This window comes from Homo sapiens, chromosome Y, assembly GCF_000001405.40.
Source record: "Homo sapiens chromosome Y, GRCh38.p14 Primary Assembly".
Classification (NCBI taxonomy): Eukaryota; Metazoa; Chordata; class Mammalia; order Primates; family Hominidae; genus Homo; species Homo sapiens.
This window is the reverse complement of record NC_000024.10, coordinates 14,782,799-14,804,041: the sequence shown is the minus strand read 5'-3', so window position 1 is coordinate 14,804,041 and position 21,243 is coordinate 14,782,799. Positions and strand designations below refer to the sequence as shown.

General features: G+C 36.3%; 1 protein-coding gene and 1 long non-coding RNA gene across 23 annotated transcripts in view; one reads left to right on the top strand and one right to left on the bottom strand.

Annotated features, from left to right (window-relative positions):
- Window positions 1-21,243, bottom strand: part of NLGN4Y (neuroligin 4 Y-linked) — a 323,039-nt gene that overhangs the window by 41,613 nt on the left and 260,183 nt on the right. The gene's annotated exons all lie outside the window — the stretch shown is intronic.
- Window positions 9-10,400, top strand: NLGN4Y-AS1 (NLGN4Y antisense RNA 1). The gene is made up of 4 exons (NR_046504.1): window positions 9-37; window positions 2,698-2,766; window positions 5,333-5,420; window positions 10,055-10,400. It is a non-coding gene; the product is annotated as an NLGN4Y antisense RNA 1 (long non-coding RNA).

Genomic DNA, 21,243 nt, shown 5'->3' with positions numbered 1-21,243 from the left:
CTGCAGTCATCCAGGAGCAAGTTGGTTCTGGCTTTCGGTGAGAGGCAGTCAGGATGGAAAAAATTCAACAACATCTGGACACATGTTGTCAGGGTGCTTCAGGCTTTGGTGGTAATACCAGACGTGAATATTTGGTAGGAGTGGGGATTCGATAGTTGTTCTGATGTGAGTTCATGTTAGATTTGGATAGATGTTTGTGAAGAGTGCAATATCCAAAGTGCATCAGTTGTAACCAGGTTATTGAAATTGTGTAGGTGCTCTTGGGATGGGGATGTATCTTCCGGGATTTTCAGCCTGAGTTACACATGCATTCAAGAGTCCTAGAACCATGTCTAGATGACTGAAACCTAGTTCTTTTCTAACTGCACCCTAGGCTTTTACTCATTCTGTGATCCCCTTAAATGGAAGAGGTTACTAAAGCTCATTCTTTCTATGACATGAACAAAATTATGAATGTGGAAGAGCTTCAGGCATTATAAAGTACCATGGAAATGTGAGATGCTATTATTATCTTGTGCAGGAAAATACTTATTAATGGTTCAGTGGTAGTGATGATTAAGAAAAAACTTTAATAGCAAGTTGTGTTTATATTGCCTTTTGGCCTAAACACAACATCCTCATTGCTGAAGTAGGGGTAATTTAAGTGCTTTTCTATACAAAAAGACATGTCAAACAAGATCATATATGGTAAGTTTAATATATTTTATATACATATAATATATATTATATATAATATATGTATTATACTTAACAAGATCACATATATTAAGTATATATACTTATTATATATTATCTAATCATATATTATAATATATAAATTATATCATATAGAGTTTATATTTAAAATTATATTTTATATATAATTACATACAATATAGCATAAACTAGATATAATAATTACATATACTATATGATATACATCATATACAAATTTATATTATGTTCTATATATAAAATATTATATAAATATATACAATACATATTATATTATATTTTATATATAATATATTATATGTAAAATAATTATATACTTATAGTATATAATGTATTCTATAAAATTATATATTATATAAAATTTATATTTAAATTATGTTATATATTATATACCATATATAGTGTGTATTACATATAATAATTTCATATTATATAATGAAGTATATATAATTATACATTATATTTTATATATGATATATATTTTTATATAATATACAATTTTATATATTATATATAATATGTAATATATAAAATATATTTCCATAATATGAAATATATTTTATATATAATATAATGTATAATATATAATTACATATATAATTTATATTTAAATTATATTTTAATTTAAATTTATTTAAATTTAAATATATTTAAAATTATAGATAATTAATATATATTATATATTTATATAATATGAATATATAAGTATGATATATAATATACTTTTATATGTAATTTTTTATAATTATATATGATTATATATTATACTTACTCTATGTGACTTTATATATAATGTGATCTTACATATTATCTCTATATATGTTAGAAATTTGTGTGTCTAAAATGATTTCCAAGAACCACCATAGGCTTATTTCATTATCACTGCAACAGTCTCAAGTTCAGAAAGAGTTAAAAATAGAGATTCAAATGAAAACATGTTCACTTTTTCCCATGATGCTTCAACCTTTTAATGACCTTAAGCTGCTTCTCACTGTATGACTCAGCGGCATAGCAAATGAATCAGAGAGAGAGAGAAAGAGTGAACGAGAGCCAGAGAAAGAGTGAGAGATACAGAGGGGAGATGAAGAGAGAGAGAGAGAGAGCTCTCCAGGTATCTCCAAGCACAGGTGCATTCCTTTATTTTTTGAACACATATTCATTAAGCACTCTTCTTAGTCCTGCAAGTTGTTTGTGGGTAAGCGAGGGTGATCTCTCCAAGTCCTTATGGCACCAACAGCCTGGGAAGGCTGTGCTATCTCGGGATATATTCACATAACCTTGGGTAGTCTGTAAAATTTTAAATTGCATAGGCTCCACAGTCGACCTCCAAATCAGAATGTCTGGTGGTATGATCCAGGAGTAGGCATGAAAACTGAAAAGTTATTTGTATGCATATTCACAATTGGGGGAACAGTGCTTTGGGCAGATTTGTTGGGCAGCTGTAGCTACACAATGTTAGGCTTTTAAGAATAAACTTAACATGGCCCAAGTAGTATTTTCTAGATTCAGGAGTGAAGGGTACCGCCACACGTAATGGAAGTATCTGTCTTTAGGGAGGCAGTCAGGCTTTGCTGTGTTATTCTTAATATCATCAGTGAAGCTGACAGCCACTGCAGAAAGAAAGAACAAGGAACAATCATTGCCATCTTCTCCTTTTATCTCCAACTTCATAACTACTCTTAATCAATAATCAGAAGAAAAAGAGAAAAACTTTCTCTTTCTGGAAATAAAAATCCCAGAATCAAATGTTTCTCTCTCTCTCTCTTTTTTTTTTTTTTTTTTTTTGGTTCATCTGACAGAAATTGTGAAGTCAAATTTATGCTCAACTTCAGTATTTGAACGTCTTTGTTCATTTTGCTTCACTGTGTTGGATATGGCCTCTTATTTTTGGAAAATATAAACAAACAAAAAACAAACAAAAAAAAAACAGGAGGAATAAATTATAATGTATACCTGATTTCTCTCTCCTGGCACCATGTGAAGAAGGACATGTTTGCTTCCCTTTCTGCCTTGATTGAAAGTTTCTGGAAGCCTTCCCAGCCTTGCAGAACTGTGAGTCAATTAAACCTCTTTCTTTTATAAATTAGCCAGTCTCGGGCAGTTCTTTTGGCAGTGTGAGAACAGACTCACACACTTAGCTTAATTTGGGGTTTCACAAAATAATGATTTTCTTATACTATTGTTTTTCCTGCATATATTATCTGGAATTTTACTTGTAATCATCAATTTTTTAGTTATTGTGAAATTCAGTATTTATTCCAAATGTAGGAAAAATCATAATTTTTATTGATCAAGATCCAGGAGAATGTGATCATTGCCTAGTAATATTAACAGTGAGTTTTATTCTGGGTATCATGATGAATATATGCATTTTAATGTCTTTATCATTTTAAATCCAGTACACATATTATTCTTACAGATGTTCTAATTGTCCCTTGTAGCTGATTAGAGTTTTCTTCCACTTGACATTTGGATTTTGTGTTTATATTGTTTCTTTGTTTTAGATATACATACACATACACATATACATATACTGCATATGTCTCTCTCGATAGATATGTTCTATTTGTAGAGAGAATGTGTATATAAAAATATATTTATATTTATGATACAAATAATATATATTACATTTATATATAAATTATATATAATATGTAAGTATGTATATAATATATATACTTATATATAGCAAGAGAATGTTTCCTAATCATGTCTTTAGAGAGACAAAGAAAAAATATATATATAGAGAGAATATATCTTTATATCTCTAACCTAACTATCTATCTACCTATCTATCTATCTATCTAGCATCTATCAATCTCACAGGTTTCCCCTCTTCTCCTGTCCCCAAAGTGCTTGGAGGCAATTTGTACAGAGGATATATGTATGTATATAAATCAAATTATCAAAAATGACTTCCTTTAGTTAAAACATTTTTCTTGCAAAGAAGAAATATCCACCAGGCAAGGATTACTGATTTACTGATTTTATCTTAATGATAGCATAAAAAGAACTGGCTCCAAATATGTTTATCAGCCTTTCAATTACTCTAGCTCTTCCTTCACTGTTGTTGCCTTCCCTAATGTATTCCTGGGTCCTGCGTCCTATTGTTTTACCCCCTCCTGTCTGCCACAGGTCTTTAAACTTCTGGTTCAACTATCACCTGTCACGAGGGGCTCTCATGGCAGTAAGTGTCCCATTACTTTCATCCATAATCAGATGATATTATATCCTCGAATTTAATACACTACAAAGGAGTAACAAAGCTCCACAATGGATCTACATAGTGATGGGCTGGAAGTCAGGGCAGGGAAAATGTAGTGGGTTTGCTCTCTGGAACTCATACAAGCCTTTGGTTAAAAATTCATATGACAATCAAAGACACCCAGAGCAATTCTAATAGATCCTTCATTATCCTAATTGTCATTAAGAATTAGTTAATATTTTGGTTTCTGTAGTTATAGCTATCATATATGATGATAGATGAACTATGTGACATTCAAAACCAAAATATTAGGAAATTGTCCCTGAAATATTTGGAATGTTTTTAGAAATAGATGAAAGGTGCTTAGAAGGATTTTGACAAGTGATGAATTAATAAGGATGTATGTGGTGTTTCCTCGGTAATTTTCTTAATGGGTATATTAGCTAACAATAACTGATGAGGTCTGTGGGAATGAAAAAAGCTATCCAATAGCTAAGTGTTTCACCATTTCTCAATCCTCTTCAGTGCAAAGTCTGGGGGGTGGTAGAAGTACAGATTTATTTGATGGGTTGGGAAAAATACTAATAAATCAAGAAAAAGATTTATGCTTCTTTTGAGATGGTGAATAGAACAGAATGCTGCTTCCTCCACAAAAATCTACATTTGAGAAACTACAGAGGCTAAGAAAATGAAGGCATCGATCTACTGAAAGAGCAATAACAGAACATAAAAGCAGTAAACTATAAGCCATTCTGCAGAGAGTACAACCTGAAGAACCATGTATATATGGCGGATGGGGGTGGCTAAACCTTCTGGCAGAGGGTGGAAGTGGTAACACAACGATGCCAGTTTGAAAGAAAAGTCTTAGGTTCACTCTTGTCTCTTAGCAAAAATGTCTTGAGTTAATCATTATCTAATCTCCCTTCCATCTTCTCTTCTCCATACAACATAGAACCCTACAGCAGCCATCAGGTAGTAGGATTTCGGTAAGCCTAGGGGAAACTCAGATGCATTGAGGAGTCGGCTAAAAACCTACAGGGCCACCAGTCACTCATGGCCACAATGGGCTTTTCCTGCTTCAGCCCCTTCCCCTCCATGCCCCCAGAAAGGATGTTAAAGAGGCTGCCTCTTTGTAATGCCAGTTCATTTAGAGTTTAAAGGCACATTTCAAATAAGAAGCCTTCCTTGCAGGTTTTCAGTGCACCAGAGTAACCTAAAAGTGATTTTTGAATGTTAATCTTGTAAAATAAACATAGACTTGGGCATGGCCTTAAGTCATATCAAATCCACAATTACAAACAGGCTGATGGTTGAGTTTTCACCCACCTAAGGAGGATATAGGCTAAATGTTTTTTTAAAAAGTTATATACCTGAATATTTAAAAAAGTTACCAAACTCTATCTCTCTCAACAGATGAAAACTCTTCTACATAAGATATAATTATTGGAACAGATCAATGAAGAAATTACAAAAGACAAAATAATACACTTGATCACCTAAGGTAATATATTTCAAATAGTAGATTATAATAAGAATTAAAAGATAACTTGGTAAATATAGTAAGTATGGAATAAGTAATAGTAAAGATGAACAAGAACATAATAGTTAAGATAAATCTTAGAACAGAGAGAATTGAAGAACAAATTACTGAATTGGAAGATCAGATGGAAGAACATTCATAGGAAACACCAGGAAAGAATAAAGGAGAGAAAGGCAGTTTTGGTAGATATATCAATAATAGGTAAGAGAGAAAAAAACAGAAAGAACTAAGTTGATGAATGAATGAAAATATGCTTAAAACAGACAAACAGAACAAAAACTTTATTTTGAATGAGCTCATAGAGTGCCCTGAGTTGATATATTGCTATGAAATTCAAGGACGTCAAAGACAAATACAAAATTATAATAGCCTTCGGAGAAAAAAATAGCTGAGTCATGAATGAGTAAGAATCAGACTGACATTAAACTTTCCAGTGATAGCACAGAACATCTGCAGATACAGTAGTGATATTTGAAAGTTGGAAGAAAAATAACTGTGAATTTAAATTTTTTGTTTAGAAACAAATAGTATAGGCAAAGTAAAAACAAAAAATTGATCAAAAAGGGACTCAAACATTTTGCTAAACAAAATTTCAATGACTCAAAAATATTTTTGAGAAAACACCTATGAAAGAATATGAGTATTTTGATAAGAATTGTGGAAAATATATGAAATGCAGGGACAATCAATAATTTATAATTTATATTTGGCTAAAATGGGTAAAAAAGAATGCAACAATTATACATAGATAACAGCCCAGAACTTAAATTCTAGGAACTATCTACTTAAATGGCATTCAGTGGTGGGACTAAAAGGAGATGCATGTTTGAAAAATGTTTGTCTTGTTAGAGGACTGCTACAGAAATTATCAGATCTGTCAACAAATCCCTTGATGTATTCTATATATTTTTGATTTTCATATAGAAATGGGACACAATTGGTATAAACCAATAGTATGTTGCTAAATTTATAAAAACAACTGGGAAGGGCCAGGTGCAGTGGCTCAGGCCTGCAATCCCAGCAGTATGGGAGGCCTAGGCCGGCAGATCACGAGGTCAGGAGATCGAGACCATCCTGGCTAACATGGTGAAACTCCGTCTCTACTAAAAATGCTAAAAATTAGCCGGGCATGGTGGCAGGCACCTGTAGTCCCAGGTACTCGGGAGGCTGAGGCAGGAGTATAGCGTGGACCCGGGAGATAGAGCTTGCAGTGAGCTGAGATCGCGCCACCGCACTCCAGCCTGGGGGACAGAGAAAGACTCCGCCTTAAAAAAAAAAAAAAAAGAAAAGAAAAAACAAAAACAAAAAAAACTGGGAAAATAAGTAGCAGTATCTGTGCTCAGTTATGATCAACAACAGTGTAAGAACAAAAAACAGAATATAGTTTTAAATCCAGTAGAAGTATATCTATTAAATGACAGGTGGAAACTGATGTTTTCAAAGACAAAATATACAGTTATATTATGCTTATTCTGAAGTAACTAAATTGAACATGTCAAACAAGATGGCAAACTAAGCCTTAGTAAAATTAATATTCAACAAACATAAATGTTTTGAACTCATAAATTAAAAATTCCAGACAATCACACGTTTGTAACAAAACCAAAGATGAAAAATGCAACCAATTTGAGACAAATTTTAAGCCAAAAGATATAGAAAGACTAAAATTATTCAAGAGTAGTAAAAGATATGCAAGCATAAGTAAGACCAAAAAATTATGATGTGAAAATCCCAATAGCTCAAAAATTAGAACCTAAGAAAATAATATTATAGGAAGGAAAAAACTGTTTATGCTCTTTGACCAAAATTCGCCATGTGCACAACTTCCAGCCTATAGCAACTACAAGTCTACTCTCTGTTTCTGTGAGTTTGACTTCTTTAGATTTCACATTTCATCATGCAGTGTTTGTTTTTATGTGCCTGGCTCATTTCACTTCACATAATGTCCTTCAGGTACATCTGTGTTGTCACCAATTACATGATTTCTTTCTTTTTTTTTTTTTTTTTTTTTAGATGGAGCCTCGCAGTGGCGCCATCACGGCTCGCTGCAAGCTCCGCCCTCTGGGGTTCACGCCATTCTCCTGCCTCAGCCTCCCGCGTACCTGGGACTACAGGCGCCCGCCACCTCACCCGGCTAATTTTTTTGTATTTTTAGTAGACACGGGGTTTCACTGTGTTAGCCAGGATGGTCTCGATCTCCTGACCTCGTGATCCGCCCGCCTCGGCCTCCCAAAGTGCTGGGATTACAGGCGTGAGCCACCGCGTCCGGCCTATTTCTTATTTACTCCTTTTTTAAGGCTGAAGAGTCGTTCATTGTGTGTACTTATATACTCACAATATACAACTCAAGTATAATACATGTTGAAAATATTATGTTAATCTTGACAAAAAACAGAGAAAAACCCCTTGTTTAAAGCAGATAAGAAATCTGTAATAATCTAACGATGTTGTAGGACGGAAATCAAGCTTCTCTAAGACTCAAATGATCAAGAAATAGGAATTCACCCTATGGATCTAATATGGTAAAATCAGAAGTTAGTGCAAATACTTAGATTTTAAAAATCTACATGTTGTAACAGATTCATCCCTCCAGCCCCCAGAGAGGAATACAGCCCTGCCAGTCTCTTGATTTCACCCATGGAAGACCTTAAGAAGAGGACCAAGCTAGGCTCCACTGCACCAAGAATTCTGACCTTTAGAACCATGACATACTACATGGTTGCTCTTTTACATTACTACATTTCTCATAATTTGTTACAATAGTTTAACAAAATGTATACAGACAACAGACAAATGAAAAAAGAGAACATAATAAAGTGTTAACAGACAGATACAGGCAAACATGTTGTTATTAATATATATAAGAAATCAATACGTAATAAAGCCCACAAATCAAGCAGGAAATAAAAGATGTTTTTAACTACATCAAAGACATCATCTGTCCAGGGTGGACTGAATAGCAAGTCTACCACCTATTAATTAAGGAATTTTTTATATGAACTCTCCCAGAGAGCAGAAATGTTTTCTTACTATTTCTACACAGCTACTATTAAGTTGAGGCTAAAACCAGAGAAGCCTAACATAAGGAAAATTACAGCCTATCCAATTTAGTACAGAGATACAAAAATGATTAATATATAACAAATACAAAAATGATATTAAAGAGTATACTGAATATCAAACTAAGCTTGATATTAGAAAGTTAACTTATTTAATTTACTACATGAACAAATTAAACACAAAGCAAGGAAAATATTAAAAGATGAAAAAAAAATTACCTCTAATGAATTTATGGTTTCATGTTATCAAATTAAGGAGATAAACATTTATTTATGTGAAAAAGATAGTTCATTTATATCCTACTCCAAATATTATACATAATGATAAAACATTAGAAGACTTCTGTCTGGCTGGATGCAGTGGCTCATACCTGTGATCCCAGAACTTTTGGAGGCTGAAGTAGGCAGATCACCTCAGGTCAGGAAATCGAGACCAGCCTGGCCAACATGGTGAAAGCCCATCTCTACTGAAAATACAAAAATTTGCCAGGCATGGTAGTGAACGCCTGTAGTGGCAGCTACTCAGGGGGCTGAGGCATGAGAATCGCTTGAACCCCGGAAGCAGAGGTTGCAGTGAGACAAGATCATGCCGCTGCACTCTAGCCAGGGCAACAGAGTAAGACTGTCTCAAAATAAAATTTTTTTTAAAACTCCTTTTGTCTAAAGACAGAACAAATCAAAGATAGCTAATTTCATTTCTATTCAACTTTGGACTCAGTATAGTGAACGTAAGAACAAGAAACTTTCATATGGTTCTTGGGTAAATAAAACTGTTCAACCACTTAAACAGTTCTTGACATCAGGATGCATATCTAAATATGGATATAAAATATAGTCCAGTAAATCTATTTCTAGGTAGAGAAACTTCATTTTTTTTCAACAAGATATACACAGAATACTAACAGTTGAACTGTTTACATAAGGCCAATTCAAATACCCAGCTTCTGAAAGAGTTAAATATCTTGTGGAATAACCATAGGGTGTGGTTTCTCATATCAGTGAACATAAATGAACTACAGCTCCAAGAATTTTCATGGTTGAATATCAAAAACATACCATTCAATGAAAAAGGAAGTGCTAGGTCAAGAAAAACACAGAATGACATTTATAAAAGAACAAAAGCAGATGACAATATATTCTTTAGGTTAAGCTGGTAGTGCTAATTTTGTAGAAATAAAATTTAGTAAAAGAAGGAAATAATGAATTGGTTTCAGAAAGATGGTTACCCTTTGGGCAGGTTTAAAGAAATACAATTTATAACAGGAATTAAAGGGAATCCAAAAATCTCCATCATGTTCTAATTTAAATTCAAGCTGTACATAGAAAGATGTTCATTTAATTATTCACATCCATATCATGAAACATTCTCTAATAAGAAAACAAAAATAAAAGATTACAATTGTCTATGGAAGTTGAAAATAGAACTGCACAAAACAGCTTGAGGCATAAAAAATGATACATTCTTGGAGTAATTTTAGGTCAAATCCAGCTGTTCAACAACTTCTAACTTTTTTTTTTTTTTTTTTTTTTTTTGAGATGGGGTCTCGCTCTGTCACCCAGACTGCGGGGAAGCAGCATGATCTCTGCTCACTGCAAGGTCCACCTCCCGGGTTCAGGCCATTCTTCTGACTCAGCCTCCTGAGCAACTGGGATTACAGGAGTGCACCACCACCCCCGGCTATATATTTTTTTTCTCTGTTTGTTTTTTTAGTAGAGTCGAGGTTTCACCGTGTTAGCCAGGGTGGTCTCGATTTCCTGACCTTGTGATCTGCCCGTCTCGGCCTCCCAAACTGCTGGGATTACCGGCGTGAGCCACTGTGCCCTGCTAACAATTTTCTCACTCTATATTTTCTAATACTATGAAATCAATGAATTAAGTTTGTGGTCTAAGTACCAGTAGACATTAAAATAATTGTTTGTCTGGAATGAAGAAAATTATACGTATTCTAATTTGTCCTAGTCTTGTGCCAAATGAAATCTTTCATTAACTGGAACAAATTAAATAATTAAGTCTCAATATTTATAAAGCCATTTTATTAAAATGATTTTTAAAACTAATGTTCTACCATTCTCAGTTGCCATGTCTGTAGAAATTATTACCGATTGTAAATTTTACCAGTGGTCTCCAGAGAGGGATGAAGATGTGGGGGATATTTTGCAAGAAAGTTCCTGGCTGCCTCCCCTGAGGGTTCTGATGTATTGGCTATGTTACTGGAATTGCTATGTAGTAATTATTCAAATTGCATGCACAGCTAAGAAACCCAATAAAGCTTCTAAAGGAGTTCCCTCATGTATGCAAAACTATTTTAACAGCGACACATATTTATTATTTTAACACAGAGAAGCAAAACTCATCTTTGAAAGAGAACTGCCTTTCAAAGAATTATTTGTTAAATCATGAATGGCGGCGGGTGAAATCCAAAGAAAAGAAGAGATCGTGAATTTCCTATAGCTCATTGTGGATTTGCTGAGTTGAGATTTGAAGCATTCAGAAGAAAAGTTTATGTTAGGATAGCCAAAAGGTCATCAGCAAAAGGGCTAGATGTTGATTTTAGAAGGTTTATTTTCCTATTTTTCCCATATGAGAATATGCCTCCAAATTTCTCCTTAAATCCTCAGTTAAATCTAATGAACACACACACACACACACACACACACACACACACACACACTCTCTCTCTCTTCTACATGTAGTTGAATTTTTTTTTTTTTTTTTTTTTTTTTTTTTTTTTTTTTTTTGGAGACAGGATCAATTTCCTGGGCTGGAGTGCAATGGTGCAATCATAGCTCACAGCAGCCTTGACATCCTGGGATTAGGGATCCTCCCACCTCAAGCCTCCTGAGTAGCTGGGACTACAGGCATGTGCTACCAGACTGAGCTAATTTTTTTTTCTTTTTGTAGAGACAGGCTTTAGTCAGGTTGCCCAGGATGGGCTCGAACTCTTTGGCTCAAGCGATCCTCTCACCTTGGCTCCCAAAGTGCTGGGATTACAAGTGTGAGCCACCATGCCTGGCCTTGAGTGGATTTCTGAATTGAGAAGTGGCCCAGTCTCTCATGTTGGTATTCCAAGTGAAAAACACATCATCCACAAAGGACATTAGATAAAACTGGCAACAAAAATAACCACCTTAATTAACCTGAGTCCTCACCTATCCTCTGTGAGTAATAGGAAAACATGTCTGGGCAGGAGTTTGGACTTCCAGCGTGACTGAAGTTCAGATTTGAGTCCAGGATATTTCTTATCTACATCCATTATGACAATGTCCATTCCATAGGCAGAGATTCCATAGGTAGGGATCTGGGAAGTTTTGCTTATGGCTGCCTCCAGGGGCCTAAAATGGTCCCTGGTGCACTTCTGGAGCAAGTAAGTACTGGTTGAATAAATGCATTTTCAGAGACAGGGAAACCTACATTATCTCTACATGATACAATTTTGTGGCTGGAAATATCACAAGTCCAACCACATGTATTTCACCTTGAAGTCTGTACAAACAGAGATTGAGGATGAATGTTTTAACATCTTGCTCTCAAATGGTTGCATCTTTTTTTCCCAAAAAATATATTGGAGAGTTTCTTCAAGTCTGTGGTGTCCACCATGACTGAAGGCCTGCAAACTCCGCATCTACCAAACAGGACCGAGACACTCAAATCCCCAAGTTCAGAATAGGTAGAGGTTTTGTGTTCAGATTTGTAAGTGGGTAGGGTAAGGGTTTGGGTTCCTGTTCAGGTTTGGGTAACAATTCTGGTCAAGAATGATGTTGAGTGTGTGTTTGGATTTTAGTCCAGGCTGGGATCTCACAGTCAGGAGTCAAGGAGCAAAACACAGAGGGTTAAAGATCAAAGATCAAGGGTTAGGACGGGTTTCAGGTATTGATAAAGGTTCATGTTAGGATTTGGCTTCAAGTTCAATTTGGGGTATGGTTAGATCACTAATTGAATGTCAGGGTAGGAGCACAAGTCAATATTATGATCAAGGGATTATATTCGTTATTAGGGACAATGGTCAAAGGTCAGGATTAGGATCAAAAGTCTGTGGGTTAGAGAATTTGGTAGATGCCTTCAGTGTTCAAATCAGGGGTCAAGAGTCAAGGGTTACTGGCAAAAGTCAAGGGTGAGTTCAAAATTTTACATTGAAGTTAAAGTAGGTGTTGGGTTGGGTTTGGTTTTGAGTCTAAATTTAGATTCATTTTCAAGGTTGGGTAGAATTAGGTTTCATATCCAGTCATTAGTTAGGGTCCAGATTAAAATTTGGGTTCAAGTTCTCATTCTCTGTTCAGGGTCATGGGTCAGCTCAATGATCAAGAAGCAATGGTCAAAGGCCACAGGTTAGTTTTAAGGTTTCAATTTCTGTTAGGGTCAGTATTAGGTTTAGAGGTAAAACACTGCTGAGACCCTTGTCACTTTCATCTTTATGACTGAAAATCGTAACCAGAAAAACACATGAAGAAGTGAACATTTAACAATCTAGGCATATTTTTAGGAAACATAACTGTTGAAAGATATCTTCAACATGGCTTGGGAATATTTTTAGCACAAAAGATATTAGAGAATGGGAGCTTTATAATATAGTAATTTAGTCAATGTACTTAACGGAATTTGGATGTTATGACCTCTTTGTAGTTAAGAGTGTACATTAATATTAACTCTGGACAATCCCCTTCTGATCTACAGAGATTATGCATGTTTTTATTTGTGTGTGTGTGTTTGTGTACTTCTCACACCATTGACGTTGAAGCTTGGTTTTGCATTATCCAACCCACCCATGTAAAGACACTATTGGATATGGATGGATGCATGCTACAGATTTAGCCACCTCTGTGAATGGGAAACTTATAGATGGAAGATGGTTCCCAGAAGATGTTCCACCTATATAGAGAAGGGAACAGAAAGAGGAGTACCTCAGCCACAGTATTCTGGGGGTTTGCAGGATGGAAATAGTCAGATAGGAAATTTGTAAATCACTGCATGTGAAGGGAGGAAGAATGCAAAAATATTTTATATAATAAACACTTAAATACTTACATTTGGGAGTGCAAAAATAGAGATATGGTGAAAAATCAAATCAGATGGAACACACCCAAAGACACAGGTGCAGATGCACACACACACACACATATCTGTAGCTCCAAGTATTCTTTTTTATGGTTACTGTTAATGTGCACTCATAGGTACAAAGAGGACATGACATTTGAATTTTATCAAATAAATAGGCTTAATTACTATATTATAAAGTGCCATTCTCTGATTCCTTTTCTGCTTAAAAAGTGTTTTATAACCCTTCCTATTCTAAACTGAATTATTTTATTGCTCGTATCTTTCCATATTTCTGTCTTATAAAAATATGCATACGTCATTAAGCTTTTCCATTTTTATCCATCTTTCTAATTACGATTTCCAGTCATAATAAAGAAAAGAGATAAGGGTCTGCTGTAGTATTATCAGTGCCCAGTTATGTTCCAGAATTAAAGTAACACAAGGAAGAAAAAAAAAATCAGGAAGAAAAACCTAAAATAATGTGGTTTATTTAGCAACACTAATTGTTCAGAATATGGTGTATCCACAAGTTCCCCTATTTTTAACTATCTGGAGGTTCTTTCTGTGAAGATGTTATTTTTTTAAACTATTTTCTGGACCTAAATGTCTTGCCAGAGTAAGTTAGCATTTAAATACTGATGAAAGCCTAGACTCATCTGAGAAAGGGCAGGAATGTGTGTAAAAATACAAAATGTCATCTCATCACTTATGGTGCTTCAGTTCAGCCATCTGCAAGAAAAAGGAAGCTCTTAATGCACAAGGTGAAGGGATAAAATTATTTCTACATGTTGAGTCTTTTAAATTAAAAAGGACAAATAGGCCAGGCATAGTGGCTCACTTTGGGAGTCTGAGATGGAAGAACTGCTTGAGCCTAAAAGTTCTAAGACAAGCCTGAACAAGATTCTGTATCAATGAAAAAAAATTAAAATTAACCATGGGTGGTGGCATGCACCTTTAGTCCCAGCTACTTGGGAAGCCGAGGTGGGAGGATCACATGAGCCAAGAAGGTCGAGGCTGCAGTGAGCTCTAATTGCACCACAGCACTCAAGCCTGGGTGACAGAGTGAGACCCTGTCTCAAAAAATGAAAATAAAAGTAAAAATAAATAGACAAATTATTTGCGGTGGGTACAAGCAACATCAGAGAGGAGTGGTTAATTCTCCACAGTTATGTGCACTGCCACCTGAGGATTATTACTTGGACTTCAAAAGATCAGGAGAGGCTGGGCACAGTGGCTCATGACTATAATTTCAGAACTTTGGTAGTCTGAGGCAGGTGGATCACCTGAGGTTAGGAGTTTGAGATCAGCCTGACCAACATGGCGAAACCTCATCTCTCCTAAAAGTACAAAAATTAGCTAGGTGTGGTGGCACACTCCTGTAGTCCCAGCTACTCAGGAGGCTGAAACAGCAGAACTGCTTGAACCTGGGAGGTGGAGGTAGCACTGGGCCGAGATCATGTCACTTCACTCCAGTCTGGGAGAGACAACAAGGCTCTGTCTCAAAACAACAAAGAAAAAAAAAAAAAGAAAGGGCATGAAAATGATGGTGAGATCTTACTTAGATGAGCTTTCCCTGGAGGAGCTCCCTGGGTGAGTAAAGATGGAAGGCCATTGTTCTGAGTACTCAAACCCAGTTGTAAGGAGTCTGTCCACCCGGATGGGTGTGTGGTAAACAGAATTATAAAGACACCACTCAAGATTCTTATTCCCCTCGCTATTAAGTTAAACATGTATCTAGGTACTGTTATGAATGGTCTTTGCAGATACAATTAAGGTTACTAGTCAGCTGATGTTAAGATAAGCTGATTATCCTAGAATAACCAAATGTGTCCAATACAATTGTATGATACTGAAAACCAAGAAAACAGTGACAGAACAATCAGGTCAGACAAGCCATATGACAAGGGAAAGGACAGAAGAGGTAGAAAAGGTAGTTGGAGAGATTCAGAACATTAAAAGCTGTGCTTTGAAGAATGAGGAAGGAGGCCAGGAGTCATGGAATGCTTCGATCCTCAAGAAGCCAAAATTTGCCCTCAGCCAATCAATAGCCTGCAAGGAAGCAGGACCCGCAACCTGATGGAACTGAATGTAGCCAACAACCCAGATGTTTCTGGAAGTGAACGCATCCCTGGAATATGGAGGAAGAAACACTACCCTGCTGCCAACACACTGAATTCAGCCTTGGTCGACAATGAAGAGAAACCATCCAAGCTACTCAGACTACAGAACTTCACAATGGCGATATAATAAATGTGTGTGTTTTAAGCCACTACAGGTGAGATAATTTGTTACAGAAACAACAAGAAATGCATACAAGAAGGACTTGCAGGCAGTGTGAATCCTCCGGATAAACTTGAGGTTGCAAAGGATGGGATTTGAAGAAATGAGGATTTGTAGAAAATGCTCAAAAATATGCTTACGTGAAATTTGAGACTCTCAGTACTTTCAGAGTGGTAAACTTGCCTTCTAAATTAAGAGATACTTTGAATTCAGAGTGACCATTTCTTCCTACCTTACTGTGCCCTCCTACTAGAATATCCATATTAACTGAGGATAAATAACAGGCCTATAGCAGCTTGCCATAATCATCTAAGGAGAAAATTTCCTCATTACTCTATGCCTAATCAGGAATCCTCAGACAATATATCTAAGAACTGAGATAGGCCGGGGAAGTTTGGGAGAAAAATGTAACTGTGGGTGCCATCTTCAACCATACAGTTTATAAATGCATGATTCTATATCTTCTCTACATGGTGGAGATAACCCAGAAGTTCAGTAAAGAGACCCATCTGTTTTGGGGATACCATTTTGCCTCACCAGCCCTGGATCTGGAATGAACAGGGGTAGCTCAGATCACCTGGCTTGGACATGAAATTTCAGTTGTCTTATAATGCAAAAAGTTGTTGCCAGTCTAATCAGGAGTAGCAGGCTTCCCTAACTTCATACATAACTCACAAATGGTAGTATTCTAAAACCCTCCAAACAGTTGCAGCCCCTCTACTGGGAGCAGTGAGCAGCTTTATGCTCTAAGAACTTGCATATCTGCCTAACCACCCCCAAACACTAAGCAGTGCTCTAGCACTGACATTCAGAATCAGTTCACTTCAAAGCACAAATAAATAGGGCATAAAAGTCTACATCAATTAGAAGATACACAATTTAAGGCCAGGCATGGTGACTCATGCTTGTAATCTCAGCATTTTGGGAGGTCAAGGAAGGAGGACTGGTCGAGCCCAGGAGTTCAAAACCAGCGTGGTCAAGAGAGCACGACTGTCTCTTAAAAAAAAGATAATAAAAATAAAAAGTAGTCTGGCATGTGGCACATGCCTGTATTCCCAGCACTTTGGGGGGCCAAGACAGGAGGATTGCTTGAGCCTAGGAGGTTGAGGCTGCACTGTGCTATGATGGTGTCACTGCATTCTAGCCTGGGTGAAAGAGCAAAATGCTGTCTCAGAAATAAATAAATAAATAAATAAATAATGAAGGAAGAAGAGGAAGAAAGAGGAGAAGGTGGGGGAGAAAGAGAGTAAGGGGAAAGGGAAGAGGAGGAGGAAGAGGAGGAGGAGCAGGAGGAGGAAGAGGAGAAATGGTAATTAATGTACTACTCTAAACTTTGGAAACCTCTCATTAAGTAATGATAAATGCCAAGAAGAAAGAAAAATGGAAGCTCATAAGAAATGTGGAGGTTCTGCAGGAAGTCAAGTATGGAAGTAAAGGCTTTATGTGATTTCACAGCCATGTATTTATGTATTTATGTATATGCTGATAGTATATACATCAGGAATCAGGAAACAAGTATTCCTCTGAAATTCAGGAGATGCCCCATTGTAATTAATATAGAAGATTGTAAGGATAATAGCCTCCAGCAACTATCTGGAGCAAATACTGAATGTCTTTACTTATAAGTGGGAGCTAAAGGACGAGAACACAACGACACATAGAGGAGAGTAACACACACTGAGACCTCCTTGAGGGTGGAAGGTGGGAGCAGGGAGAGTATCAGGAAAAATAACTAATGAGTACTCAGCTTAATACCTGGGTGATGAAATGACCTGTAGAAAACCCCGTGATTCTGCAAAGCCACTTGCATTATATCCACCGCTGCTCCAAGCCAAGGTTGTACAAGCACACAGGCAGAATATTCCTTATGACTTCCATAGAACCGAGGGTTTATTTCTTCCAATGACTATTTTAAAAAATCTATCACAGCCATATGGAAAACGAGGCTTCGGCCTATACTTACTGCTCATCAATATTACTCTAGATCTGGGTTTCTCAACCTCAGGAATATTGACATGTGTAGATGGAAGATTATTTAATGTGCTGGGCTATCCTATGCCTTGTGGGTGGCTTAACAGTATCTCTGGCCTCTGGCCTTGAAATGCGAGTGGTACTCACTCCCATAATCTAGCTGTGGCAGCCAAAATTTTTTCCAGACCTTGACAAATACCTCCTGAAGTGAAAAGCATGTATCTTTGCAAAAATGTCCATAGTTCAGAACTGAAAAATTAGACATCTATGTATCTATTACATTTCAACTGACTTTTCTTTTTTTTCTTTTTTTCTTTTTGGTTCCGTTTTTAGCTCTTTGAGGAGTCACTATACTGCTTTCCACAATGATTGATTTAATTTACACTCTCTCCGATATTGTGTAAGTGTTCTCTTTTCTTTGCAACCTCACCAGCATCTGTTATTTTTTGACTTTTTTTTTTTTTTTTTTTTTTTGAGACGGAGTCTCGCTCTGTCGCCCAGGCTGGAGAGCAGCGGTGCGATCTCAGCTCACTACAAGCTCCGCCTCCCAGGTTCACGCCATTCTCCTGCTTCAGCCTCCTGAGTAGCTGGGACTACAGGCAGCCGCCACAGCGCCCGGCTAATGTTTTGTATTTTTAGTAGAGACGGGGTTTCACCGTGTTAGCCAGAATGGTCTCGATCTCCTGACCTCGTGATTCGCTCGCTTGGCCTCCCAAACTGCTGGGATTACAGGCGTGAGCCACCGCGCCCGGACTTAACTGACTTCTCAAAAATTTACTTATCCTTTATTATCCATACTGGATACCATTACACAATTCAAATATTTTGTACAGTCTTTGTACACATCCTAAAGGAAAAATTAGATAACATGGCACCATTGTATGTAGAGATTCAAATAAGTACTTGGAGCTTCTACAGTTTATTTAGAAATCAAGTAATACACATAGGAAACAGAGAGGGGACTAAGACACACACAGAGAGCTATTATTAACCCATGTAATCAAAGTAATTTTATCTTGAATTTTAGCAGTGTTTTCTGAGGTGAAACCCAAGAAAACTGTCCATACATGTAGTGGATGCTGGTATTTTTTTAAACTTTTATTTTAGGTGCAAGGATATGTGTGCAGGTTTGTTATATAGGTAAACTACTGTCATAGGGGTTTGTTAAACAGATTATTTCATGGCACAGGTACTAAGACTAGTACACTGATACTTATTTTTCCTTATCCTCTCCCTCTCCCCACCCTCTGCCCTGTTATAGGTCACAATGTCTATTATGCTCTGCTCTGTGCCCATGTGTTTTCATCTTTAGCTCCCACTTGCAAGTGAGAAAAAGCAGTATTTGGTTCTCTGTTCCTGCATTTGTTGGCTAAGGATAATGGCCTGCAGCTTCATCCATGTTCCTGCAAAGGACATGATCTTGTTCTTTTTTATGGCTGCATATTATTCCATTATGTATATGTACCATATTTTCTTCAGTCTACACTGAGGGACATTTATGTTGATTCCATGTCTTAGCTATTGTGAATAGTGCTACAATAAACATATGCATGCATGTGTCTTTTTTTTTTTTTTTTTGAGACGGATTCTCGCTGTGTCTCCCAGGTTGGAGTGCGGTGGCGCAATCTCGGCTCACTGCAAGCTCCGCCTCCCGGGTTCACGCCATTCTCCTGCCTCAGCCTCCCAAGTAGCTGGGACTACAGGCGCCCGCCAACACGCCCGGCTAATTTTTTGTATTTTTAGTAGAGACGGGGTTTCACCGTGTTAGCCAAGATGGTCTCGATCTCCTGACCTCGTGATCCGCCCGCCTCGGCCTCCCAAAGTGCTGGGATTACAGGCGTGAGCCACCGCGCCCGGCCGCATGTGTCTTTTTGATACAATTTCTAATTGTTTGGGTATATACACAGTTATGGGATTGCTGGGTTAAATGGTATTTCTGCTTTTAGCTCTTTAAGGAATTATCACACGGCATTCCACAATAGTTGAAAGAATTTACACTCCCACCAATATGGTATAAGGATTTCCTATTCTCTACAACCTTGTCAGCATTGATAAAAGTAGCTTGTTTAGAATTAAAGAATCATGGGCATAAAGAAGTGTTTCCAGAGCATTTTCAAGTCACAAAACAAAATGCATGAAAGTTAGCAAATTTAGGGGAAAAGTGAACAAAGGTATTTTGTTTAGAATTAGTTAAAAAATTTACAGGGATAAAGGAATTTGTCCAGAGTGTTCAAGGTCTGAGGTAAAAAATGCATGCAAGTTCATGAAATTTTGAGGAAAAAAATTAATTCTGAAATTCTTCAAAGAAACAATATTAATTTCAAGTGATTAGACCCTGGGGATGAATTGATAGTGGTGACAGAGGATCTGTGGCTTAGGCCAAGAAATAATATATATTTTGTGGCTGTAAAGACATTTTCAACAGAAATGACATTTTCCCAAAGTGGTGGATATTTCTGTGAGATGTATATTATGCACACATGTTTGTATGTGTATGTTTGTGGGTATGAAATTTCAAATATGAAAGTAACACATATTAAGGAAAAAATATTCTGAAAGAAGATACAGATGTCCTTTTTAAATGCATGTCTCATCCTTAAAAATCAGACATTTGCAGAATAGCATGAGCATAAAAATGGAAATATGTATATTTAAGTAGAAAATGATAAATATATATGGAACCTAAATATATGTCAGGCAGATAGAGACTAAAAAGAATTTATAGGAGCACTGCCAACTTTCCAAAAAATGTTCCAGGGGATGTGGGAATATATTGATCCAAAGAATAAAAAGACATATGCATAGTAACAGAGAAGAAGAAAACCTAGTTAAAATCTCACGTTTAAAGGAAAGACATATATAAAACATATGTTTTATAATTTTATTTTTCCTGTTAGAATATATGTTGCAAAATTTATGCAATAAAAATAGACTTAGTATGACTCAAACAATAGAAAAGCCATGGGGTATAATAGAAAATAGAAATGATGTTCACAATTTACATTTAAGTGTAACCAAAATAAATTTTAAAAGAATCTATTATTGTCATTGTATATGTGACCTTTTGCCATCCAGTGTAAACTATACTATACTAAGATTATAAATAACACAGGCCTGTGAACTTTATGTTAAGTATTAAGCTTATTAGGAACTACACATGACAAATGTGTTGAGATGCCATCTTTCTATTTCAAAAGACAAAATCCAGTTTGCATGCAGTTGCACAATGCAAAAGGTTACTTCTCTCACCAATAGTGAGAAAAGTGCTCACTGTTGTGAGTCAGTCATTCAAAGAGTTCTCTTCATCAGTTCCAATGCCCCAGCCTCCAATTTTCTTTCCTTGTTCTTTAAGCCCTTTGTCTCGCCCCATGGAGGTTCTAGCTTCCATATACCATTTGGCCTCAAATCCAACACCACTTACTTTAGGTTTCTGTTGAAA